The sequence below is a fragment of the Homo sapiens genome, chromosome 16 (genome assembly GCF_000001405.40).
Source record: "Homo sapiens chromosome 16, GRCh38.p14 Primary Assembly".
Lineage (NCBI taxonomy): Eukaryota > Metazoa > Chordata > Mammalia > Primates > Hominidae > Homo > Homo sapiens.
In genome coordinates, this window is record NC_000016.10 from 72,831,116 (window position 1) to 72,857,394 (window position 26,279).

The 26,279-nt window shown below is 46.4% G+C and overlaps 1 protein-coding gene across 10 annotated transcripts in view, besides 3 other annotated features; it reads right to left on the minus strand.

Moving 5' to 3' along the window:
* The window catches only part of ZFHX3 (zinc finger homeobox 3), a 1,109,046-nt gene that overhangs the window by 48,231 nt on the left and 1,034,536 nt on the right, over positions 1-26,279 (minus strand). The window lies entirely within an intron of this gene.
* Positions 2,003-2,172: an enhancer, noted in NCBI's record as "experimental_44334 CRE fragment used in MPRA reporter constructs". NCBI's record gives its function as "activates a minimal promoter by MPRAs in K562 erythroleukemia cells, with activity observed for both the introgressed and non-introgressed 16:72867102 variant alleles {active_cell/tissue: K562}" and the evidence as "EXISTENCE:reporter gene assay evidence [ECO:0000049][PMID:34662402]".
* Positions 14,297-14,796: an enhancer, noted in NCBI's record as "H3K4me1 hESC enhancer chr16:72879311-72879810 (GRCh37/hg19 assembly coordinates)". NCBI's record gives its function as "activates a minimal SCP1, AML or CMV promoter by ChIP-STARR-seq in naive H9 embryonic stem cells {active_cell/tissue: H9 hESC(naive)}" and the evidence as "EXISTENCE:reporter gene assay evidence [ECO:0000049][PMID:30033119]".
* Positions 16,199-16,258: a silencer, noted in NCBI's record as "silent region_7689". NCBI's record gives its function as "represses an Ori minimal core promoter by ATAC-STARR-seq in GM12878 lymphoblastoid cells {active_cell/tissue: GM12878}" and the evidence as "EXISTENCE:reporter gene assay evidence [ECO:0000049][PMID:35858748]".

Consider the following 26,279-nt stretch of genomic DNA (forward strand, 5'->3'; position numbering starts at 1 on the left):
ATGCCTTCTGACTGTCTAGAAAACAGCCTCTAAATGTATCTCACGAAGGAAGTAACAGGAGTACAAAGTAAATTGGTCTCAAAGGGTTTCTAAAACACTGAGGAAGAAGATGTCTATTTAGAATCAGATTGTCTTGACTCAAGAGATGATGGAGGTCCAAGGTCTGGAAAACTGAACTAGTGTCACGGAACGTTCTTTCTTCCTTACCACCAAGAGGGAGTTTATGAGGCAGTCACTGGGAATACAGGTGAAATACGGTACTGTTTATTTTCATCTCCAACTCAGGATTCCACATATAATTTCTCTGTCTCCTTCTTTGTCTCACTGCACAATAAAGTCAACATCAAGTTTCCCTACCCTACCCTTAGTTCAAACAGAGAAAAATCAGGCAACCACAGCTTGAAGTCAATCAGATATAGAGCCCCACATTGACACCATACATCATTTAGTAGAGTAAACATGTATAGGTGTCAGTAGAGTAATAACAAATTACACAGCGTGACACAGGAACTATCTTCATTATGTCCAGGTGGGACGTTCTGTGCACATTTTTAGGATTTCAATAAAATTGTTCAACACTATAATGATAAAATTCATCTTTGAATGGTGATACCAGCGTGCGGTCAATGAATATTATTGCATTCGGTCTACCCAGATGAGCTAGGTCCCTTAAAGGACCCTTATTTGTCCCAATACATGCTGTGATACAAAATATCTGTAGTGTTGATACATTTATGCCTATTGTTCCATTATTGGAACACTAAGCTTGTAGGAGTTATTTATATCCTACTGCCCAAGGTCATCGCCAAGGTCTGATTTTTCACACACAAAAAATTTGCAATCTCCAGCATAAATGGGATAATCAAATTTGATTAGGCAAAGAGATGGCTCAATGGCCTCTCATCTCTAGTGCATACATATGACCACCTTAGATGAAGACAGTCTGATACCTACAAACTACAGAACACCCTGAGATGGTGATGTGCAGTGTCTGAAGGTGCTGCTCAGCAGACATGGGAAGGGATTTACCCACTGGGGGGCCATCTCCAAGCCAGCACATTATACAGCCTGCAGCTATCACAGCAGAGCACTAAAAACTCACAGTCACCCAACACTGACCCCAATTCTTTGAGCCTTACCAAACAAATCTGTTGAGAAACTAGAGACTGTAATGTATAAGCAGATCATTGATGCATCAAGCATGGAAACTGCATGTTGCTTTGTGAATATTCCTGGAGCTCTCATTCTGTGAGCCCACTTGGGCTTTTGCTTTCTTCCCTCCCTGCCCTACTGCAAGCAGAAAATGAAGGCAGCTGAGTTCCGATGAGAGGATCAACGAAAGAGGTTATTTCAAGAACTTATTTTGCTTATCTCTTTTTTTAAAAAGATTTACAAATCAAGTCCTCTTCTTGAGTTCCTAGGTTTAATATTATCATTTGTGATTCATTCACTAAAAGGCTGTTCTATGCGTGGTAGAAGAAGAAATGATTACGAAAATCCTGGATAAGCCAGCTCCCTTTCAAGGGGATCAGTGTCCTCAGTCCCCCACCCCCACCTAAAAAGCAGGTCCCATTCAGCCCAGCCAGCTCATCCCTGCAGTTCCATCCAGGACCTACAGGTGTCGCCCTCCGCATGGCGAGGCCCGGAAGGGCAGCTGGCTGCAGGAGGCAGAGGAGTCTGGACCGCCTAACCTGAGCATGTGGAAATAATATATGTCTTCAAGTGAACTGTCTGGTCCTGGAGAAATAAAATAGGACATTCATAAGCAGTTACACCATCTGTCTTTATACCATCATCATCAACAGCAAGAGGAAAAATAGCTCTTTAAAATGGATGAAAGCCCAGGCTGACAGTAACCGGAAAACTGTGAGCTCTGAATACCAATAAAGGTAGAGAAATGATTAAAAAACAGAGATGCAAACTGAAAATTTGTCTGGACAGCTCAGGCCCACGATGCTTTGCAGGCAGGGTGTGTTTTATTGGTTCCGAAAGCATAAAGCAAGCTGCTTACCAAGAGCCAGGCCTGGGGAAGGGCTTGGTCTCCCGGCCCTGGAAACACGTGGGAACCAGGGGCAAAATAGCATCCCGCTTTGAAACAGAGATCTGCGTCCACACGCTAAGCTCCTAGGGCTGTTATCTAGCCCTTGTTCTCTTTAGGAATGTAGATTTGATACACACGTGCTGGAGAATGGAGGGGAGGTTTTTTGCTTTTCCCCCCACAGATCATGGATTGCATTCCCCCCTCTTCTGCGAAGTCACTGGTAACTGGCTGGGTCATTATTACAGAGGCTGCAGATTTTTTTCCCCTATAATATTAGCTACTGACAGATGGTGGGAACAAGTGAAGACCTGATGGACTGATGATCGGTTTTATCTGGAAAATCCTGTCTTTCCTACAGAAAAAGAGACCAAGACACATAACAGCCACTGTGCCATTTTTAAGGCTGAAACAGACAAATCAAAACCATCTTCTCCTTCAAGCATTTAATGGTATTTCCAATCCCAACCAGAGCACACCAGGAATGCTTTCCCAAGGGCGTGGCCAGGACCTGGGAGAGAAGGTCATCCCCACTCCCCTAGTCCCGCCCTGGTTCTGGGCAGGAGGTAGCAGGCCCAATGCCTCCCAGACAGCTCTGTGTTTTAGAAGACACCAGAGAAGGTGTCTCTAAAACCCATACGGAAGCCCACAGTAGCCTCAAACTGGAGCACCCCCTCCTGTGTGTGTTTTCATGTTAAAGAGTTAGGGAAATAAAAGCAAATACTGGAAAACTGCAGTGTCTTCCTAGGGTCCCTTCTGCCTTTCATTTCCATGTTCAACAGTGACTGAAGGCCTTTAAAAAACCTCTTTGGCTGGGCATGGTGGCTCATGTCTGTAAATCCCAGCACTTTGAGAGGCCGAGGTAGGTGGATTGCTTGAACTCAGGAGTTTGAGACCAACCTGGGCAAGAGAGTGAGACTCCATCTCTACAAAAAATGCAAAAATTAGCTGGGTGTGATGGCACATGCTTGTAGTCGTAGCTAACTTGGGAGGCTGAGGTGGGAGGATTACTTGAGCCCAGGCAGTTGAGGCTGCAGTGAGCCATGACTGCATCACTGCACTCTAGCCTGGGCAACAGAGTGAGACCCTGTCTCAAAAACAAAACAAAACAAAACTCTTTCCATCACCACCTCCTTTTTACAACTGCTTCTCCCAGATAGCACTTACTTACTAGTGCCTGGCAAAATCCAGCCTGCTCATCACTCAGGCTTCCTGACTAAGTGCAGAGCCCTGAAGTGCAAGAATTCCAGCAGATAAATACCTTCTAAAGGGGAAAGCTTCCTAGGACAGCTTCAGTTAAGGGGATGATACCCCAGTCCCAGAAAATTTCCCTTCAATCAAAGTGGTTTTGCTGACCACAAATGCAAATTGATCTCTTAATATACCTTATACTTAGCATCTTGGTAAAGGTGACTGCACAATTCCCCCATCGGTGGTGAAATCTGCTCCTGAAGGAGGAGAGCATGCCAACTGGCAGCCCCATGGGAATTTGCACCAATCTTATGAACAACCTGGAAATTGGTTCGCGAAAGCAGCACCAGGCAGAAGCCAAAAATAGAGGTGGCATCACCACAAAGCCAGCATTCAACCCCGCAACCTCACTGTATGCACTCCCCAAACGCATCACCCAAGAAAATGTTCTAGCTGTTTAAAAAAGAAAAAAAAAAAGGTACTATTTTCCCAAATAATGGGGGCCAAGTGACGTGTCCACGGCGGGTATTCTACGAATCACTTATAAGCTTGAAGGAAGGGGAGTCAATCAATGATTAAGACTAGTCCCTCTGTTCCTAACTCTTAACAGGATAATGCAGATTAATTCAAACCTTCCCCAAACCTGACAAAGCCCCCATAGTGCCTCAGTGTGACAGAAATTTGGAAATTCTCCTAAGAATCAGGGTATCTGTACCCGAGGCTCTCACATGATCATGTTACTTAAATAATACACCAATCTGTGATCCCCGAAGAATGAAATTGTTCTTTCCTTTTTCTTTGGAGGGTGGGATGTTTGAGGGTGGGGGTGAAATAAAGTGCGTTTGCCTGTCGGCAGGCTCAAGAGCTGAGAAACATTAGCTGTCATGAACCACAATCAAATCAGGTTTGAAATATTTAGCAGTGGCTTGGAAAATGCGGCGGTGCAGCTCTGACAGGCGAGATGTGCACAGACACCCACTTTCCATTATAATGGAAATATCAGGCCTGTTCTGAATATGTATAACCCAGAAAAATGTATTGATTTTTCATTCGGCATTAAAAAAAATGAAATAGCCTGCAGCTGTCAAAAGCCTTTTGTTAAAAGCTCATCTTTCCTGGAATGAGGTTTACCAGAAACAAGTTTTAATTGTATATAGGACCTCTTCTTTGAAAAACAAAATAACCTATCTGCTTACTTTGAAGATAGAGTTAAAGCTTTTCCTTTCTCCATTTTCAACCTAATTAACCCAAGGACGACCACTGAAGCAGGTGGGAAAGGCGGGGTACACTCTGACCATCAAGACTGACACGGAGGATGGCAGCTACAAGTGGCGTTTGCTGGTGTCTCTGTGGTGGGTGGAAGGAAGGACTCGGGGATGTGCCTCGCTCTCGTTCCTCTAACTCCTGTGTAGGTGCGGCATCCTGAGACTCATTGTATACCCTGACCAATCACTTGTCTTCTTTAAGCCTTGGCTGGCACAACTGGAAAACGAGGGCAGAACACTCTAGCGTGTCCAATCCTCTTGGCATTTTGTTATCAATGGGAAACCTCTACTGGCTGCAAATATTCTACAGAATATGCAGGCTTTATTTTGCAAATACAGGTCAAATCAAATCCCACAATATAAAAGATGACTACTAAGGCCTAGACCACTTATTTCAAATAAAATCCAGTGCGTTATAATTCTGCTACAATAGAAACTTTTAACGGAACACAATCTGCAATGCTGGTGGACGGGCAGTTGTGTTGCTCCCAGCTTGTTACTTCTACTCCCGTCTTCTCTCTCTAAGCCAGGAAGGAAGAGGCTAGTGGTGGTAATCTTTGTGGCTACACCGATGGAGGTGGGCCACTCCCTATGCCATTCTCCCTCTGTGACTTTCGAGCAAGTGGAGTCTCATCGAATAGTGACCACAAGTCCTGCCAGTGACTCTCCATGAGCCCCAAGCTATATCCTACCTGTACCGTGACAGCCAGACCCAGAATGTAGCAACCTACTCTGCAACATCCCAGACACATCTCAAATATTTACTCCCTGGTTTTATTCCATGGTGTTCTTCCAGCCCTGACAACCTGGCTAGATGCCCGAGAGGTAACTTCCAAGCGATTAGGTCTTCTGGGTAACAATGCCCTGCCTCGGGAATTTTCCCTTAAATCAAGGTGGTTTTTGCTTACCACAAATACAAATTGTTCTCATCACACATCGTACACTCAGCATCTTAGTAAAGGTGACTGCATGTTCTCATGTATGTACACGGAAAAGGGAATTTGCCAATCTCCATGGAAGTCCTCTGTGGATAATCATCTAAATTAAAAAAAAAACACCAACCAACTTTGCCCATTCCATCTTCTACTTCTCAGCAGAGTATATACATTTACTGAGGAAAACGCCAGATCACAAGAGGAAGGGCCTGGGATCCAAACCAGCACTGATGAGTGGGACATATTGAGCTAACTAACCCTATGGTAGTCCAGGCAGGAAACCTCGAAGGGGTGAAGACTGAGTGCAGATGTGTGTGGGAGGGTGGGGGCAGGAGAAAGCAGGCAGGGGCTCTACAGCTGGAGCATCTATTTACTCATCAGAAGTGTAATATTTTCCCACCTTCTCAGGATGTCATTTCTTTTCCAATGGGCAAACTCCAGCGCATGAATAAAGCTCGAGACATTCATGCCCATTTGCTCTCTGCGTGTATGATAAGCAAATGGGCCTCCCGCACTCCTGCGGGCCTCTAGAAGCTGCCTCTTCAGTAGGACCGAAGTGCACCAAGTCAATGGGACAGAGTGTGGGAAAAACAGAGGCAGGTCTCCCTCCAGGGGCGCCATTGCCTTCATCCTTTTCCATTTTCTCACCCACTTAATCTCTCTGCCATGTGAAAGACCTCTCTCCACCTGCTGGACTAAACAGTCAGAGGTCAGCCTAATGCTCCTACAGGTAATTTTCCCACCCTGGTGGCTTACCAAAACAAAGTGGCCAAACTGCTAACAAACTGCTAGCTTGTTTTAAACAAAACTGCCTTCTCAAAGATGACAACGACACAAACAGATTTCAGCCCTCTAAAAGTGGAGAAGATGGGGTCAGAAAGAAACTGGGGTCATGGAAAACTCAGACATGCGCCCTGGCTCCAATGATGATTTTTTTTTTTTTTTTTTTTTTGAGACGGGGTCTTTCTTCGTCACCCAGGCTGGAGTGCAGTGGTGCAATCATCACTTACTGTAGCCTCAAACTCCTGGGCTCAAGCGATCCTCCTGAGTAGCTTGGACTACAGGCACATGCCACCACGCCTAGATAATTTTTGTATTTTTAGTAGGGATGGGGTCTCACTATGTTGCCCAGGCTGGTCTTGAACTCCTGGCCTCAAGTGATCCTCCTTCCTTGACCTCCTGAGTAGCAGAACTACAGGTGCACTCCACCATCCCCAAATAATTAAAAAAAAAAATTCTAGAGATAGGGGTCTCGCTGTGTTGCCCAGGCTGGTCTCAAACTCCCCAGCTCAAGTGATCCTCTTGCCTTGGCCTCTCAAAGTGTTGGGATTACAGATGTGATCCACTATGCCTGGACCTACAAACTCTTTTTCACATGGATCCTTTAAGTAATCATTTTACCACAAGAATTCTTTTTACCACTAGATGGTCATTTACCAAATACACCTGGGGCCACAGCGCCTGGAGTTTCTGGACAGCTTGAAAGGTGGTGGAGAGCTGCCAGCTTCCAAGGGGGTTGCAGCAGGGAGGCCCTGCAGGAAAACCCCACACTGAAGGAATTCAGCCTCCTTACCGCCCCCACCCTGACCCCGTTCCTGTCCCCCATTACCACCATCCCTGTTTTTTGGCATCAGGCTCTAAGAATCAACACTCTGAAAGCAACTCTGGGTATTATTAAAAATGACTAATTGGAGAATAGAGACCATTTATGCTTTTGTATATTTGAAGATCTTACCACTGTTTACAGAAACAAGAAAAATGGGGATTGTGTGGCAAGAGGCAGCCTGGGAAGGGAGGGCCAGGCTGCAGCTGCGTGTTCGGCCCCTGCTGGGCAGAGTATGGCCCAGCTCAACAAGAATGCAAGCCTGGGGGAGCCTCTCCATTTGCCTTTTTACTTTACCTCACCTCCAACTTGAGCATTGACAGGAGAGAGCCTGTTACGAGTCCAAAGTGGCCAGGGCCTATTAAGGCCTCCCCGAGAAAATTTCCCCTTTCAGCCGTCCCTCCTGTGGGAACAGCACAGAACGCCAGAGCATGAAGTGAAAAATGCTGCCGTTGTGTGGTGAGGGACGGGTCCTGCCATTTTTCCTCTCCCAGGCAAGGCCACTTGGCCATTTGAACAATTTGTCAAAACCGCACAAGAATTACGGGGGTGGGTGGGGGTCAAGAGAGGAGAAAAAGGGAGGAAACGCCTAGAGCCAGTATTGCAACAAGTTCCATTTATCTGTGTTCTTAGCAAAAGCACCTGGGTTGCCCCCTGCAGAAATCCAGAAAGGATAAAAGTAAATGTGCGGTGACAAAGCACAACGGAACGAAATATGTCGCGGACTCGCCTGGTGGCTATTCACAGGAAGATTTTTTTTTTTTTTAATAACTGAAAGGTGTGAGTTCCAGTTTGTAAAATACAAACCCAACCCTGAAACGCTCTCGGAATACACGCTAAGTAAGAAAGCTAGCTATGTCCCAGAACTCTGAAGTAAACGGAATTCAGCAGGGATTAGTTCCCTTGGATTTCTACAGAGCCATGATTGTTGCTGTTACTTTCACACATGAAATGTAAAAAAGGCAAATTCCCCGAGCATGTCTGTAGCAGAGCGTGATGTGATTGTGTTGTCATTTATGGGAAATAATCGCAGGCCCATCTCTCCCTTCCCCCCCCCATTTTCCAGTCCAAATAACCATGAAAAATTACACTTCAATGTCAGCGCGACGACAAAGGAGGCGCGCTCTCTGGGAGCTCAGCGGATTTGCAGGGGTTTTTCCTTTCTTTGGACAAAAACTACCTTCAATTGTACTTCATTTAAAACGTGATCTAACAAATGCATTTTGACAAGTTCCTTTCTCTTTTTCTCCTTTCTTTCAAACAGTATTTTACACAGTTTAACCTCACACCAAACTGGAATGTTCTAGAAAGAAGGGGCATGCAAAATAGAAGGTCCTTGATACCAAGAAGGGTGTCCCCCATCTCGTTAAAAACAAAGGAGTCAAGAAAAATGATTCCAACCCAGTATGCTACTGAGAAAGAGAGGAGGATGAGAGAGAGGAAACAGTAATGTCTTAAAGACAGAAAATTTGATAAAGCCCCACCCCCCCCAAAAAAAAGCTGGAGTTGATAGAAGAAGGTCTCGATGGAGTATTTATTTGCTCATCAGAATTAACCATTTTGTGGATTCAGAGGCATCATCTAGGGTGTCTAGATTTATGGTCAGAATTGGGGGTTCATGACAATGTGGGGGGGATGAAGAAGGGGAGCTTCCCTGATGGGGTACCCGTTCCCTCCTGTCCCCTTCCTCTGTAGGAAGGGACATTTTTCAACAGAGCAGACCTGCCTGAAAGCTTTTTAACATTCCAGGTGTGAGGCTGAGCAGTCCCTACAAGCATCTGTCTTTCAATAACAACCTGCCGGAAATAAACACTGCCAGGTTTCCATGCTGGGAGGGGAGAAGACAAGACAGATAAACACACATGAGTGATAGAGAGTAAATTAAAAAATTTAACAGTTTCCATTAAAGAAGACTGGTATCTCCTTCTGAATCAAAACTGACTTGGCTTGTCAGAGAGAGATCTTATGCTTAATGCAAAAAAAAAAAATCCGTTTCCTTATTTATTTATTTTTAATTGGAAAATACTGGAAATATATGGATGAAAAAAAGTCAAGGAGGGCCTGTAAGTGTACTTAAGCATCTATATACAAATGAAGGTGTATGGGAAATGAACAGGATGTACCAGAACTGATATTAAATGATGGTGATTAGAACCTAATGGGCATAAGTGAAACCTTGTGGGATGGCTCTCGTAACAGGAGCGTCAACGGTGATGGATGCAATCTATACAAGAACGACAGCCAGGGAAGGAGAGATGGAGGGGCGGCCATGCAGGCCCAAGGCATTTGCAATGCTGGGGAGACACAGTTTGACAATACCAATGGGAATGACGGACTATTTGGGGCAAAGAGAAGCAAAAAAGCAAAGAGAAAAAGAAAGAGGTAAACATTTTGTGTCTGACCATCGAAACAAATGGCACACAACAGAGAAAAATAAAACCATGACTCCAGAGGTCTGAGTCACATGAGGATACAAATGAGGGACTTGGATTCCCTGTTTGCCACCTTACTCTGAAGCCCACAGCGTCTGAAGAATCTCTAACCTATTCAGAAAACAGCTTCACCCTTGCGAAGCACAGAACTCAGGCAGAAATATGAGTTTACTCCCACCAGTGGACAGCAGAATGAGGAACTGACTGTCAATGAGCTTTGTTTTGCATGATCATAAGCCACTAATATGCACAGCTGGTAAAATAAGCTGATTCATAAAAACAAAGCACAAACAAAAGGCTTACACTTTCCAAACCAAATCTGGGGAACAGAAATCAGGCCAGCTTGAGGCAATGCTGCACCCAGAAAAACACCAGCTAAATCTGCTCTCCCTTGGCCAGACCCAAGCATATACAAAGGTCACTACGTATTTACAGGTTGCACATTCAAGAATGCAATGCTAGAAACGTGTGAACACCCGGAGTGGCCAAGAAAAGACCCTTACAACTGCAAGCATCGTGGGGAGCCTTCAGGTGCCTACCACGAGTTCCCTGGTGCCAGCGGAGAAGAGCCTAACTCTGCCAGAAGCCAGACCCAAGACATTTCAAGGTGCGTCTACACGTGGAAAGTCAAAAACTGGGCTACTCTCCAAAAACCATCCAGTCCCCAAGCATGCATCAGTTTGAAACAAACAGGCAACAGAAGCAACATGTTTCAGTTGACATTTCCTGGGAAACTGCAAAGAAAGTGAAGCAGGAAGCTGAGGTACAGAGAAAATCCAAAGGTTTACGTTCAAGAGCTTTCCTCCATTAATGGGGGAAAAAGCAGATGGAATTGCTAACTTGTCATTTTTAATAGGCACCTTGTACAGCTATTCTGTGTCCAAGGGGAGAAAGAATATTGGATCCTCCTCCTCTTTAGAAACTTAGAAAGTGATGCCAGTAGTTGGATCCAAAGCCTCTGTTTTTTTAAAGTTTGGATCCTGTACAATGAAACGGTCTTTTGCTAGGGTTTAACAAAATGCCACCCCCACATCCCTTTCACAATGATTTTAGCTACAGCAGCGCTCCTCAAATCTCCCACAGCTACTAAACTGCCCTGTAGACTCAGCCTCAGGACTCGCTGTGTATCTATTTAGCTTTTCCTCCTGTGAGGTGTTTCTCAGACCTAAGAACAGGCTAGCAACCCTTGAAAAGCAATACATTCCATTCCACAAATGTATACAGCAATATCTCTCAAGGCCCAAAAACACACAGTGATAGTCATCAAGACAAACACTTGAACAAAAGTAATTTAAATTCTAGACTCACACCCCATCCTGTTTAGTGGTGGGAATATTCGAAAACAACAAATACATGAAACCTAAGAGAAAGAAAATGTTGCCATGAGATGACAAAGTCATCAGGGATCGGGCAGAAGGTGCAGTTTAGTGACAAAGAGTTGGTACTTGACACAGAAATAAGGGATCTATAGAAATTTGTAGCACACAATTACATTTTAAAGAAATAATCTGGGATGCTGAGATCCTTCCGTGTACACACTGCAGTTGGCGGAAGCACTAGAAACCCGCTGACAGAAAAATCCTTACTTCAGACGTCCCCAAACTTTCATAAGTGAGCAACTTGTTTTTTTGTTTTTTTTTTCTTTTTTCTTTTTTTGAGACAAGGTCTTGCCCTGTTGCCCAGGCTGGAGTGCAGTGGCACCATCTCAGCTCACTGCAGCCTTAGCCTCCTCGGCTCAGGCAATCTTCCCGCCTCAGCCTCCCAAAGTGTTGGGATTAGAAGTGTGAGCCACCATGCCCAGCCAGCAACATTTCACAAAGTGAAATACAGAAACTGGACAGTGAGAGAATAAGGAAAGGAAACTCGAAACAAATGAAAGGTTATGCTTCACTTTGTAAGGCCAAGATTTTAGCAAAGAAGGGTAAAACAAGCCAGAGGTGTGAAGATGAACTAATCAAAGGGCAGTGCAACACTGAAGATAAGACCGTCCCATGATTAGAAAGAATAAAGTAAGTGATTCTTCACTTACCAAGCAAAATCTTCAAATAGGAGGAGGTCGGAGGAAGGAGATTTAGATGGCAACCAATGAAAACTTTCAAAAAACAAACCCAGGTAAGGTTATATCTTAAAATTAAATATATATTATGGTAGGAAAAAAACCGGATCAATTTCTGTTAAGAAGAGCTAGCCTATGAGTTGACTCAACTACTAAAGAACTTTGCTGAAAGGTTAAAAAGAATAGGAAATGTTCCAGGAGAATGGAAATTAAGACAGAAAACAGCCTTGAAGACAGGTAACTTGAAGAATGGAGATATATAAGCAAGAAAAGATAAAAGGGACATTGGATTAAAAATCTACCTGTGTAAAATTTAGCTGGATACAATTAGGATGGCAAAAGCAGAAATTTCTTAGGTGTTTTAGAAAATATAAAAAGGATAACTAGGCAGAATAGTCCAAACACAAAGAGAGCATAAACATGAGGACAGCAGATCTGGGAAGGAGGAATGAAGGCTGTTCGCAAAAGCCTGGTCACCGGCAGGTTCTACCTGTGTTTTGAGGTATTTGGGGGAGCTGACCACAAGTACCTCAATTTTACAGACTAGGAGACCAGGGATTGGAGCAGGATAGGGCTCCAAAGCCACACAGTGGGGCCAGGCACAGTGGCTCACACCTGTAATCTCAGCACTTTGGGAGGCCAAGGCAGGCAGATCATGAGGTCAGGAGATCGAGACCATCCTGGCTAACACGGTGAAACCCCGTCTCTACTAAAAAATACAAAAAATTAGCCGGGCGTGGTGGCGGGCGCCTGTAGTCCCAGCTACTTGGGAGGCTGAGGCAGGAGAATGGCGTGAACCCGGGAGACGGAGCTTGCAGTGAGCCGAGATCCCGCCACTGCACTCCATCCAGCCTGGGCGACAGAGCGAGACTCCGTCTAAAAAAAAAAAAAAAAAAAAAAAAAAGCCACACAGTGAGGAAACCTGAAGGAGGGTGTCTAAAGGAGGATGAAGGCCATCAGCTGTGTAGGGAAGAAGTGCTCGGGGTGACGCTTACACAGTCAAACAAGACAGAAGCCATGGGCAGTGTGGGCGGTGCAGCCTCACACCCTGCTCCCTGGGTGCTGGCTCTGCGGGAATCTTCCCTCCATCAAGGTGGTGATGTTGAGGCAGGTGGATTCTAATAATGGTACCATAGTTGTTCAAAGCAATGCCTAATTTTTCTTTACAGTTTAAGACAAATGGCATGGCAAGGATAAAAAATGAACTCACCAAAACCAAAGCAAACCCCACGATACACAAAACAAAACCAGCCAATCCTGTTTCCAGGCACCTGGTACCCTGTTAACTTCCTGCCCAGTGGCAACATGAAGCCCCAAATAAAAGCATCACATTTAAAGAAAGGACAAGACACAGCTCTCTCTCCCCCTCTCCTACATCCGCACACACTCACCCACTCACTCACATACTCCTCCCCTCCATGCTCTTTTCTGGAAAGGGGGGAATCCCAGAAGTACTGCTCCCAAATGGCTTGGGGCAGAGCTCATCATCGATATTCTGGATCAGGGTGAGGTCCAAGGCACTGCTGACAGGGTTGCTGTCACAGCCCCGAATCCCAGCCACAGAGAACTAGCAAAAGCCAAGTAATTGCTTTTTCCCCTTCCACTAATAAGCTTTTCAGCAGAGGAAGAATTCAGCTTCCTGTAGTCAACAGACCCTTTTTTCCCTGCCTCTCCTCGCTCCAAATAATCTAAAGTGACTGCAATTTCAGTCCTGGCTCTCCAGCATTCAGCTCCAATGGCTGAGGTCAGAGGGTGTCAAGTGAGGGCTCTCCATTTCTTTTCTACTCTGCCTTCACACCGCCCATGTTTCTTTGTAACTGAGGCAACCTGCCTCCCTCGCCCAACCATCACATGCACCCCCAGCACACAGCACACAGACCTCACATTCCAGGAAATGTATTTTAAGGCCCAAAACACACTGGGGCTCAGGAGTGGTGGTGGGGGGGTGGGTGTCCCTTTGCTGTAAACAACTAATAATGACTGACCTCAGATGCTCTGGTGACCAGAGCAGCTGATATCCCCGTTCTTAGAAAATGCACCGCAGCAGGACATTGGCTTAGAGGTCGTTAAACCATGTGGCTGGTTGTGCGGTTTTTGGTTTAGTTTTATGCAAATGACTCTGGTTCCTAAATTCTTAAGATCTTGCTATGCATTTGTGGCATTGGTATCTTCAGGCCTGGCTCTGTGTCGAATGAGAGGCAAGTAGACTGCCCCGAAAACCCTGCCCCGCCCCCTCCCCTTCCTCATTTCCGAGATGAATGAAATGCTATTTCAATTAAGTCCTGTAGTAACAGTGCTCCCCTTCCCTGCCTTCATAGAGAGCTAAGCCGAGAGCACAGACAGAACTGAAGGTGAACAAACAAAGGGAAATGGAATGAATGAGAGAATGAACAGGTGCATGAGGGGAACGAGGGAGGCCCCGGCAGGTTCCTGCTCCTCCGTGTGGCGGAAAAGAGGGCAAGGTGCGGACACCAGAGGCTTGCTTCTGGAAAAGCAGCTCCAAGCGGGGGAAACAGAGGCAGCACTGCGGAGATGAGGCACACTTCTTCCTCCCCCTGCGCCCAGTGCTTGTGAAGGTCTGGAAGGGAAGGAAAGAAGGGGAGATGCACCTGAGAAAACACTGGAACCCCCTCCCCCTGCCACCACACACACGCCTAGAGGACGCACACTCCTGGCTGCAGCCCGGCCTGTGATGGGAATTTATTTCCCTCAATTATGTGCTCTTGTCCCCAGTCTCAGTTCATCAGCACAGTGCAGCCAAGTCAATGAAAGGCTCCATAATGAAGTCATCGCATGCACAGGGACATCCCGGCACCTGCCCGCTGGGCTGGCAGGGCTGCAGCCACGCCCGGCCCTGAACCAGGCCTGCGTGGGCTCTCCGCCCCCAACTCACATCACTGCCCCACGCCACGTGCTCCCACGCTCTGTGTCACGGCACCCCCGTCCTGCCCCAGGAGCCTGTGTTCTGGCTGCCATCTTCTTTGCCCCAATCCCAAATGTTCTGACCGCAAAGCATCTGTGACCCAGACCAATCAGTACAAAACACTGACGACTTTCCCTTTCTCCTGCCTGTGTAGACCCCTTCACCACCAAGAGCCTGATCACAAAAACCAATACCACGCGCCTGGAAAGCCTCCATTGGCTTAAGTCATTAGCAAGTATCTAACAATAGCAACACAATCATCACTCAGCTGAAGTAGATAGTATTAGGACTCTCATTTCACAGATGAGGCTCAGAGAGGTTAAATTACTGGTGAAGGTCACATAGCTAGGAGGTGACAGCTGATGCCAAGGACCATATGCTTAATGGCTACCTCTAGAGGCACCAACCATGGTGGCCTTCACAGGAGAACACACACTTGTGCTTGTGCTGTCTGTCCATCCATCCGCCCACCCATCACATATCCATGTGGCACCTACCCCAGGCATTGACAACACGGCTGTGAACACAACAGGAAAGCCCCTGCTCTCATGGGGCAGGGGCAGGAAGGAGTGGGGAGAGTAAAACACAGTAAGCAGCTCAGTAAGTGAGCATATTCTAAGTCAGAGGCTGCTAAGGGTCAACGATAAAGTAGAAAAAGGAATCCAGGGAGTTCCTTAACATGGGAAGCTCAGAGAGGGTGGCATTTGCACACAGACCTGGAAGAAGTGAGAGTGTGAGCCACAGGAGGCTCACATGGCAGAGGCATGGCACGTGCAAAGACCCAGGGCACAGAAGGAGGGCTGGCCTGCTGGAAGAGCGCTGAGCGCTAAGCAGGGAGAGAAGGGACAAGGCAGGGGATAAGCTCAGAGAGGTCTTGGGCAGCATCCTGTAGGCCTTGCTACCCACTGCAGGCCACGGGCACTGTGAGCATGAAAGGTACCTTTGAGAAAGTCAGAACAAGGTGCTCCTCCAGCACCTCTTCCTCTGGGCACATATGGTCCTGAGACCCACCACTCCCTCTGCTGGGTAAGGTAGTGTCTGGGATGGACTGCAGTCTTTATGCATCCCCCTTAGCAGAGAACTGTTTGTGTGGGGGACAACCTGCACGGCTTTAGCTGGTGGCCCCGGCAGGGATTTCCAGTAGAAAAACTCCTGTCTTTCCCTAAACATGCATGTGCAATATATCAGTGCAGATACGGATGTGGCTGCAGATACAGATAAAATCTCTTTGAACCTTTCCATTTACTGGGGGCTGGCAGGGGTGGGGGTAGAGCTGGCCTCACGGTGAAGAAACACAAAGAGGGGAAGCGGACCAGTGGCTATCCTTTGCCATGGGCGGTGCTGCAGCACTTGGACAGTCTGGACGCCCATAAACCAAAGGACCCATCTGACCATCGTGCTCTGAAGCCTCTCCCTGAGAAGAGGACAGGGCAGCACCAAGACTGGGGTGAAGGACTCAAGGCTCAGAATGGCAAATGCAGAAATTAGTTACTGCGGTGCAAATGCAGAAATTAGTTACTGACTGTTCTGCATGTCCCTTCTATGGAAATGCATTGTCCCTGCACCTAAATGTATTTCAGTGGACTTTGTAAATTTAAAAGCCATAGAAAACTATGTGACCTCGGCAGGGCTATTTTAAGCTAGCACTTCCTAGTACAAAATGAATTTGGTATTGAGGATGAAGGGGGGACTTTATTTTTCTCAAATTGGCTGTTGTAGAAGAAAGTCTGCTCAACTCAGCACTACCTAAGACGTGTCTCCCCCTAGTGACACGCAGACCTCTCTGCTACTGGTGCCACCACCCTGCAGTCTCAGGGCTGGAGCAAGGCAGCTAGGTGCAGGCAGGCAGCATTAGTTCTGCAGGCTGCATCTGGCCCTGAACCTAGGACCAGCCATCTCTTGGTACCCTGGGAGCTCCAAGAAACTCAGTGGTCAGGCCCCGGAGTGTTCCAGGTTTTGCTGCAATGTTAAGAAGTGAGCCCGGAGCACCCCCAGGGCAGCTGATCCACACACAGCTTCCGCAGCCAAGGGAAAAGAGGGGATGGATGGAGGCCAGGATAAAGAAGGGGAGGGGTGGCAGGTAAAGGGAATCTCCCCAGAGGAGTGAATTCCTTTCCAGGCTTGCTGGGGACCCAACAGGGACACCCCAAAAGGCAAGGCCTAAAGCCAGAGCAAAAACAAGCAGACGCAAAGCAGGGGAGAGTAAGCGATGGGCGAAGACATAAAAGCCCAAAGATGAGAGCTGAATGGAACAGGAAGCAAACCAGGGCCAAACCCATCACGGCTTAAAGCAAACGTTAATGTAGGTTCCACATTGATCTGAAGCCCGAGGGGGAGGAGGCTGGGTGCAGCCAGGCTCCTCCCCTCCTCCATCTCATTCCATTCACATCATCAGGAGAACTGTGTTTTGGGGAAGGGGTCAGGACAATGATTGGAGCCTGAACTTAGCTGCTGCCTTTTACAGTAGCTTCCCAGAATAAACTGCCCCAAGACTTCATCCATCACCAAAAAAGGCAACTGTAAAAACACAGGTCGCCAGCCCCTTGCCTCACACCAGCACAGTGGCCCTCCCTCCGCTCCTGGGGATGGGGGTGCTGAGGGGGAATGGAGGGCAGGCGCTCAGGCCTGGCACTAATTGCTCTTGGGGATGCTGTGTGGTGTGGGGGCTGTTCCCTGCGCTAAGCAGTTAGGAACTTCCTAAATCATTAACCTTTCTCGGAGCGCATTGTACTGGGAGGTGCTCCCTCTGCAGCCTATTCACGAGCCCTATTGATCTGCCGCACACTCGGTGCCTTCAAAGTTGTTTATGATCAATATGCAAATTGCCCATGGCATTGATCTAGTATTAATTTTCAATTAGGGAATCCACAAGGGGTCTCTGAGGGTCAATACCTAACAATGCAAAGGAAACTCCGCTGTGGAGTATCAGGCCTGATGCTGATAAAAGCTTCCTAAGCCTCCTCCTCAACAGTTCCAGGCCCTCTGGGCTGTCACCTTCACTGTGGCTCATTTGGTTCCCTCCTAAGTCAGACCCCTTCGGCGGCCTCCCAGGCTGGGTCTGCGGCCATCACCCTGTGCCCCCCCTCCCACCCCCTATGCCACTGGAACACCTCCTGGCCTGCCAGTGCCTGCCCCTCTTGCCCGCCCTCCTGATCAGATGCCCCCAGACATGCCTCCTCATCTCCCCATGCCACGCCCAGACCCAGGACCACTCTCTCCCCCAGCTCCCCAACCACACATACCTTCTTCCTCCCTCTTTCCCTTTCCCTCGTTTCTGCTTAGTCACGGAACGTCACCTTGGCATGCTGCCACGGCTGGAGCTGGCGAGCTGCACGGTCCCCAGAAATCTCAGGCAGGCAGGCAGAGCGCCGGGCTGCCAGGTTATGCTTGGCAAACAACCCACTGATGTCATTTCAAAAAACCAGGGGGGAAGGAAAAAGGCACAGCTTCAAATCATCTGTTTCTCCTTCTTTCTTTCGTCTAGCAAAATTTTTCTTCCTAATGAAGCCCGGGGGTGGGGGATGTTAATTACTTTACCACTCACTCATGGTTCCCAGAAGAGGCCAACGCCCGCCCTCCAGGAGCACAGGGCAGTGCGTGTGAGCCACTGACGGAGAGTGTCCCTGGGGACAGTGTGCCCAGCTGGGACTGGAATGACCCGGGAACTCAGTCATTCCATTTACGCCCCTAACAGCCCCTGAGAGACTTGCGTGGGAAAGCTCTGCAGCCAGAGGAGCTGCAAGAGAAAAACGTGGCTTGGTCTCCTCCCAGCAGGTAGGGGGACAAAAGCAGGGCTCAGCCATACTCCAGCCTGGGGCCCAGCCGGCTCAGCCTGACTTCTCTCTCTGCCAGGAGGTTGAAATGTGCTTACGTTTGGAATAAACCTGCCTGAAGATGAGGCCACGATCCTGCCAAGATGGTGCCCACGATCCTGCCTAAGTCCCAACCCATGCCCTGCCCACTTTCCACACTGCCACTCATGGCACTAACCAGTGCATTAGCTAGCCAGGCTAATAGGTTTATGGATAACATTAATTACCACGTTCCTCATTAATGGATGAAATCTTTATTGGTGCCATTGATCAGCGGACTTGTTAGCTGGCCTCCTAACCAATGGCGGATGTAACAAGCGTTCTTATTGGCATATCAATTAATGCAATCAATTCCTGGCCAACGGCTGCCATTCACTTCCCTGGTTGTTCGAGAGTAGGAGACAGAGCCCTGTCAAGAGTGCCTTTACTTAGAGCTCCAGCTCTCAGCTGACTTCCAGGTGGGCTCTCTGCCACTTGGAGTTCACCTACCAAAAAAAAAAAAAAAAAAAAAAAAAAAAAAAAAAAAAAAAAAAAAAATTCACACCTACCCTTCCATCTGAAAATCACCTTTCCGTGTTCCAGTGATGACAAAAGTGCTAAGCTACGTCAGGGGACATAAGCTGAAAGAAAAGGTGGGAACGGTCGGGGGACTGTCAGAGCAAACAAGAGGATTAGAGAAATCAGATGTTTCTAGGTTAGGCACTGATAGAAATGATTCAGGCCCCAGACTGGACTAGGGACAACACTCCAGATGGGACCAGCCTGAAAACACAAGCCACAGCCATCATCAGCCCTCTGCCCACCCTGGGGAAGCCTTCCTGACCCCAGCCTCCCCAAGCCACAGTCACACCTACTGTCACACCTACAAAGTCACACCCACCAGTGTCTACCTCACTTAGCACTTCAGACCACAGGTCCCACATGGAAACATCACCTGCCCATCTTCACTCCTACGCTTCAGTACGGAAAAGGACTTACCACAGGACGAACGACCATCCCACTGTCACTACCAAGTGTGCAGTAAATCTGTGCACACAAGTGCTATTTTCATGTGTGTTGAAATACACATAGTCAATCATTTCAACAGCACTTATATCACTGTAGAGTCGAAGTTGGGGAAAAAATTTCTCTGGGCAGCGAGAAGTTTTTAGGGACATTGATTAGAGGAGGCTCAAGGAACTGGGGATATAGGGTGGGTCCACAGAACCATGGACCATGGTAGAGCTGGACTACTGATGACCAGTGATCACCAGGGCATTAACACCAGAGCAAAGAGGCCGGGCTCGCCAGGCCCACAGCTTTGGGAGGAAACGTGGAGGATGCCTCCCCCTAAGATGTGCTTTGGGCTCAAAGGATTGACTGGAGTTTGCCCCAGATGGGAGCAGCTTGAAATATTATTCCAGATTTGTTTCTAAAAGCCTAAAATTAAAAAAAATAATAAATCAAAAAAGGAAGAAAAATCACTACTCAATGATGCTAGAGCTATTAATAAACTCTGCAAGCAGGAACATTTGACTCAAGGGGAGGGGGTGCAAGCAACGAAAACTGGTGGGAAGCAGATGGGGTTGGGGGGAGAAAGTAGCTTTGGGCCAAGTGGTGACAGGGCCCAGGAGCCTGACTGAGGCTGCGGTGCAGGGACATAATTCTCAGCGTCTGAAAGCATGGCTCGGGGTTTCTAGGATAAACAGCAGAAATATTTCCTTTCACTTATAAATAGAAAGTGCCATTTTTTTCCACATGGAACGTCATCACTTCCATGTTCACAGTACGGAGGAGAGGAGAGTCCTGAGCAGACAGGGCAGGGACCAGAGAGAGATGCCCCAGCCAGATGTTACACTCTCAGGGTGGGGACCAACAGATACCAGGAAGAAGAGGGACAAGAGGCCTCCAAGGGGAGGCCAAGACCTCTGCAATCCACGAAGTGACTTTACATGAAACAGGATTGCACATTCTATGCAAAGGTCACCCAATGTGGGTGACAGGGAGATACCCCGACAAGGGGCTCTTCATCAGCCACTCAACACCACGGCGAGTCTTCCAGAGAGAGTACTCTTGGGTTCTTGCAACGGCAAAAGTCCCAGTGTACTTCTGACTAGAGTTCCTACAGTATTAATATAATGGTGTCTAAATTCCTCTCTGGGGAGCTCCCAAATACCACAAGGGTTCTGCACATTTTGATTCCAATTTCACTTTTTTTTTTTTAAGATGGAGTCTCACTCTGTCGCCCAGGCTGGACTGCAGTGGTGCAAGCTCTGCTCACTGCAACCTCCGCCTCCCGGGTTCAAGAGATTCTCCTGCCTCAGCCTCCCGAGTAGCTGGGATTACAGGCCCCTACCACCACGGCTAATTTTTGTATTTTTAATAGAGACGGGGTTTCACCATGTTGGCCAGGCTGGTCTCAAACTCCTGACCCCAAGTGATCTGCCCACCCCAGCCTCCCAAAGTGCTGAGATTACAGGTGTGAGCCACCGCACCTGGCCTCAATTTCATTTAAAATGCTGTAATAATAAGGCATGCTCAAATGTGATATATGCCAAAATTTAACACACTGGCGGCCAGGTGAACTAGTTACGTGGCCAAGTTAAACAGCTTTTGCGTAGACTTTAGCATAAAACTTCTGCCATTTTCACTTAATGGAAGACTCTTCTGGGATTGCAAGGCAGGCTATTAAAACCAGTCCTGTTTGGAACTACTTCTGTATGAAAGAGGATTATACAGAAATTGTCTAAAACAAAATATAGAAACAAAACAGAAGCTTAGTTGATACTATTTAACTACCTTCCACAATTCTTAATTTTGATCTGTTGATCAACTCTGTTTTGTTCTAATTTTTTAACTTAATAAGTAAATGTTAAAAATCTGAACTCCTAAAATAACTATAGTTTTCAAGCCTTTTGAAACATTGTTTATATACTAGGTCCAAATTCGTTTGCATTTTTTTTCTAAAAGAGGGCTCCGCTAATAAAATTTTACAAACCACCGCTCTATCTGATGTCTATTTCTAGATTAAAAGTGGAGCGCACTCCTCAGAGAGCCTCCCTTGAGAAACAGCACAGATAACTGAAACTTTCCAGGAAGAATTTAAGAACTTCACATCTCTTAAGTGGACAAAACACTCTCACATACATTTGACTGGCTATTACTACTACACAGGCACAAAAAAGATAATGTCCCAAAATGGAGACAGCTGTGCAACAATGGATGATTTAAAAGTATTGCTTAAGTTGTATATTTTCTTTTAAGTAAAAAATGAGGGAAGAGAAAGATCTCTTGATGACTCCTCATAGAAGCAAAACCAAGTTCCTTTTATAAAAAGTTTCCTTTTTTTAAAAAAAGAGGGAGAGGGGCTACTTCTGTTCTCTGTAATGTTGAATGCTCAAGAGTGGCAGTTGATAACCTAACCAGACAGAACGCTCCCCATGGTAGTTTTCTCCTCCAAAGAAAAGAGCTTAGAAGCTTTCTCTTTGGAACAGAAGAGTCCTCTATTCCTTTATTTGCTCACTAAGTCATTAGTTAAACTATCCGTTCATGCCTCCTAGGTTTCAGCCATTCTGGATCCAACTGGACAAGTGAGTCACAAGCCTGCCCTCATGGAACTTACCCTCCAGTAGATCCACTTTAGGTAACATAAGATGGCTGTGTTATGTCCAGAGCTTTCTCATTGAACCATCACGTCAACATGTACTTGGACAAGAAAATCACCTCTTTGACTCTGTTTGCTCACCTGAGGGATGACAAGGTTGACCCTGGGTGGTCTAACAGGGCCACCATGCTAAGGCTCTAAGTTGGACACCTTCAATACTATGAATAGCAGGAATTGTTAAAGAATTAAACCCCACCCACTCTAAAAAGACTGTCTGATCCAGGCTTCCCTGAATCTTCACCTGGGTGATTATGATCAAGGTTCTTCTACCACCAAACACAATAAGAAATCAAATCTTATCAGAATTGAGCTATAAATCTGTGAAGACTCCAATAATTTCTAGCCAAGGGAATAACACCACAAAAGTACTTTTTAAACTAATTACTCAGATTCTGAAGTGCTGCCCTAATGAGCCTTCTTTCTGCCCAGAACTTACTAAGAGGAAAAACTACCTTCTGGTGCAGTAATTACTGCTTTCCCCTTCAAACTTCTAACTGGAGATCGATGCTGCATTTTAAGACCCATTGATTTACAATTAGCCTGGCTTTCCTGCTAAAGTGTTTTTTAAGCAGAGTTTACTTTTATTTTATTTTGAAATCTCTGAGATCTGGTTCTTGGATTTTACATTCTCATGAGAGGAGACTGGAAATCTCAAAAGAGGAAGGTAGGCATTGGAAGAGAGGGCAGTAGAAGGATGCAAATCAGATTCAGGAGGGCGGGGAAGGAAGAAAAGGAAGTTGGTTTGGTCACAGAATTTTTTTTTTAAAAGCCAAAACTCATGCTGAAAGGGAGAGAATGAAGAAATCCAAAGAGAGGAAGCAGAAGGCTGAGCGGCAGGAGGAGAGAGCTAGGTGCACAGACTAATAAAGTGTAGCTGCTGTCAAGGTGGCTGGAATAGCTCTTTATGGCCTCCGCTGTTTATTAGCATCCTTGAGAAGGAAAAAAAAAAAAGAAAAGAAAAGAAAAGAAAAAGCTTTGTGCATCTTTGCAAAACAAAGCACTAGTTAAAAATAGTGTATGCAGCAGGGACAGTGTGCTAACATGAGGGTCCTGGCAGCTCCAGCATTTGCACAATCTGTCCCATGAGGAGAGCAGAAGTAAGCGAAGCAATTAAGAATTTCATGCTGATTGCTCTAAGCATGTTTTCTATGCCATAAAGATACTAGCATAAAGGATATGGCCTTGCTTCTCTCCCTCCCCTGCCTGCTAACTTTTGCCTTCTAGCTTTTGGACTTTTCCTTTTCTTTGCCTCCCATGTTTGAGGATTCGAGACAGTGGTTAGCCGGCCTGGCACCACTTTATGGAATCTGTCACTTCTATACCGAAAGAAATGGCGGTTGTGTGCGAGTCTCTCCCTGCCCTTGATCAAGAGCAAATCTGGAAGAGGAGATATAAGCCAAGCTGCATTACTAAAGCCCTAAAGAGGGAAGGCTTAAAGAATGGGGAAACTCCCTCTGAGGCCTACAAATCCGGGCTCTCCAAGGCCCCTCCTGCCACTCCCATTCTGGCTCTTCACTATTTCTGGGTCCCAAGAACGACTGGCAGAAGATGGTCCTGGACAAATGAGAGCAAAAAGTAAAAATTCCCAAACAATAAGGGGGGAGGGACAAACCACAAACTTTTTGCTTTTTTAAAAAATGTATTTTATAGCAAGATTGGATAGGCCAATTTCAAAGACTAATATGAAAAAAGTGCAATTAAATCCTTGAAAAACTGACAGATCAGCAAAACAAAACCACCCGGAGGAGAGCCCGATTGAGCCTCATTAAGAGGGAGTTCAGCCTGTTTTTAAAACCCTTCTTAACACTTAGCTGGGTACCTCCCAGCAGTGCGCACTCCCAATGCGGCTGGCATAATTAGTGTCAAAATGGAAAGAAAAAAAAAATCAACCTAGGAAATAGAAATTAAAACACAAATTGGTGGGTGGGGGGGGGGTGTCAAATGGAAAAAACATTCCAAATTCAAACAACAAACTCCTATCAGTCCATCTGAGGGCAATGGGGAGATAGCAAAATACTCTACTGTACGCAGAGATAAATACGTTCCAATTAAACAGAGAGAGGGCTGGGGCAGATTGAGAAGATTTATGCTGCAATTCCCCATCTTCAACCTCTCCCTCTTCTCCCAAAATATATTCTACATTGTGGTCACGTCAACTCCACAAGGCTGGGGTTAATGGCAGATGGATGGCAAATTGCACCAACCTCATCAATTATAACCATCATGCCTGACAATGGGGAAAATGAGATCTGGTGACAAATTTCCACACCTTCAGCCATCAGGATCCCCCAACGCTGGAGCGCGTGCACGCGTGTGAAACAGTGTGTGTGTGAGAGCATGAGTGAATGCATTACATATGAAACCACCAGCCTGTAATAAGGAGATATGGAGCTGAGACCCATTATAGAAGGGCAGGCCACTAAGGAAGAAATACTCTGGAGATGGAAAAGATGGCAGGCAGATGAAGCCATTTTATTAAATCAGGCAAATTCTAATTCATTCTGCAGAGACAGAGGAACGAAAACGGATTCATTCTCAGTATATCCTCTGAGCCAGCTCTTATCACCTCAGCAGAGGGAGGAGTGAAAGAAAGGTTCCAAGATTCATCTGGAAATCGAGAGAAACCTTCCCCTTTAAAAAGCAAACATTAAAATATATCTATTTCAATACCCTGCACCAGGAATATGGAAAATAATGCTCGCGCCAGAGAAACGCAGGGGTCCTTCTCTGGCTTTCCAATTATTCCAGCACGTGAAGAAGCTTACAAATTTGACTCATTGCAATAGGAAATCAGAAAGGCAACTGCAGCCTAGATAAGTTGTTGACAAGGACTGACAAAAGGGATTGTGGAACATCTCCCCCAATGGCAAGAAACGCCAACTGCCACCTTCCCCGTGGTGGGAACTTAAATGTCGATTTTCTAGTTGAAAACAGTGGAAAAGAAAGGCCGTGTATGAGAACACCAAGCACAGAGGTTGCCTTTCATTAACAAAAGGCGCTTGTGTTTAGACTGCAATTAGAAAACCAAGGTTTTAATTAAACAATTACATAAAAGTTAGTTTGGCTCCCTGTATAGTCCAACACTTCACCAGCGCCTTGGGGTTAGTTTAGCAATGAGTGTTTAGAGCTCTGGCTGCTATGAAGGGGGGAAAGAAACTGATGACACAGCGTGCATGTAACTGTAAAGCTAGGCGCTGTACCTGTCTGTCTGCAGCTCCCCTGCCATGTTCTAGAACAAAGGAAAAGCCAATGAGACTGACAATGAGCACGCACGTGGTCAGACCACAAGCCATCAGTAACATCGTACTACTCATGGCTGAACAGAAGAGATTATTCAAAGTGTCATGCAAGACCTGGGGGGCTCACGAGGCTTCCGGTGTTCCCAAGTGAAGAGCTGCGTCTCTATCAAAGCACAGGCCAGGTGCAGCTAGCTTACTCTGTGCCTCTTTTAACTAAGAGGGATACGCAGGAGCTTAGATGCCTTCAAAATCCCAAACCACCTCTGGGAGGAGAAGAAAGCAATCTACTTTTTCACCTGCTGCTTTTACACCACCTGGAGACAGCTGCCCAGGGCAGACAGAGGTACGTGTAGGTCCAAGGGCTTAGATTCCTAGGGGAGACTTCAATGTCTAATCTTCCTAGCACATGGAAAACTCCTCTGTGGCTCCCAGCAATCATCAACCTCAATGCTCAAGAGCTGCAAAATGAAGTGAAATTAGTTCTTCCCTATACACATCAGCTTTGAAGACAGAAGGTGGCCACCTTCTACTAAACCATGTTGCAGGAACAGCCTGGGCCATCTCCACCCTTGGTGAAATGGATTGTGTCAAGTGAGTGGGGCCTGGCTTATAAATACAGACAGGAAGATTGATCAGTTTTCACTCCACAGCACCCACCAAAAGTACACAGACCTCAAAAAGCAAGGCCATTCTGCCAGTAGGGCAGCCAGTAAGGAGAACTCCACACTGACACCCGCAGGTGATGCTTCAGATCACACCTCCACAGGAGCTAAATGCAGCCTTATGTTTCCACAATTCCACATTCCCCTGCCTTCCCACCTGCTTGGAATTCTTCCAGCTCTGAAAAGACCCATGTCAAATGATAAAGAATCCAAGATGGGCAGCCAGTTGATACTGACCAATGGCCTCATACATTGCCTAGCACTGGACTATCTTCCTAGGCATTTCTGATCAAGTCACTGAAAGAAAACCTAAACAACAGAGCTAATTGGTTGGCAAGATGCTGTATTCTGTATAATACCCAAGGCTAACCAAATCACAAGGTAATCAGTATTTGTTAGTTTTCATAGAGGACCAGCCCCATTTGGGTTTCACAAGGACAGGAAGTTCCTCCACCTACAGAGATAACAGAAAAATAAAAA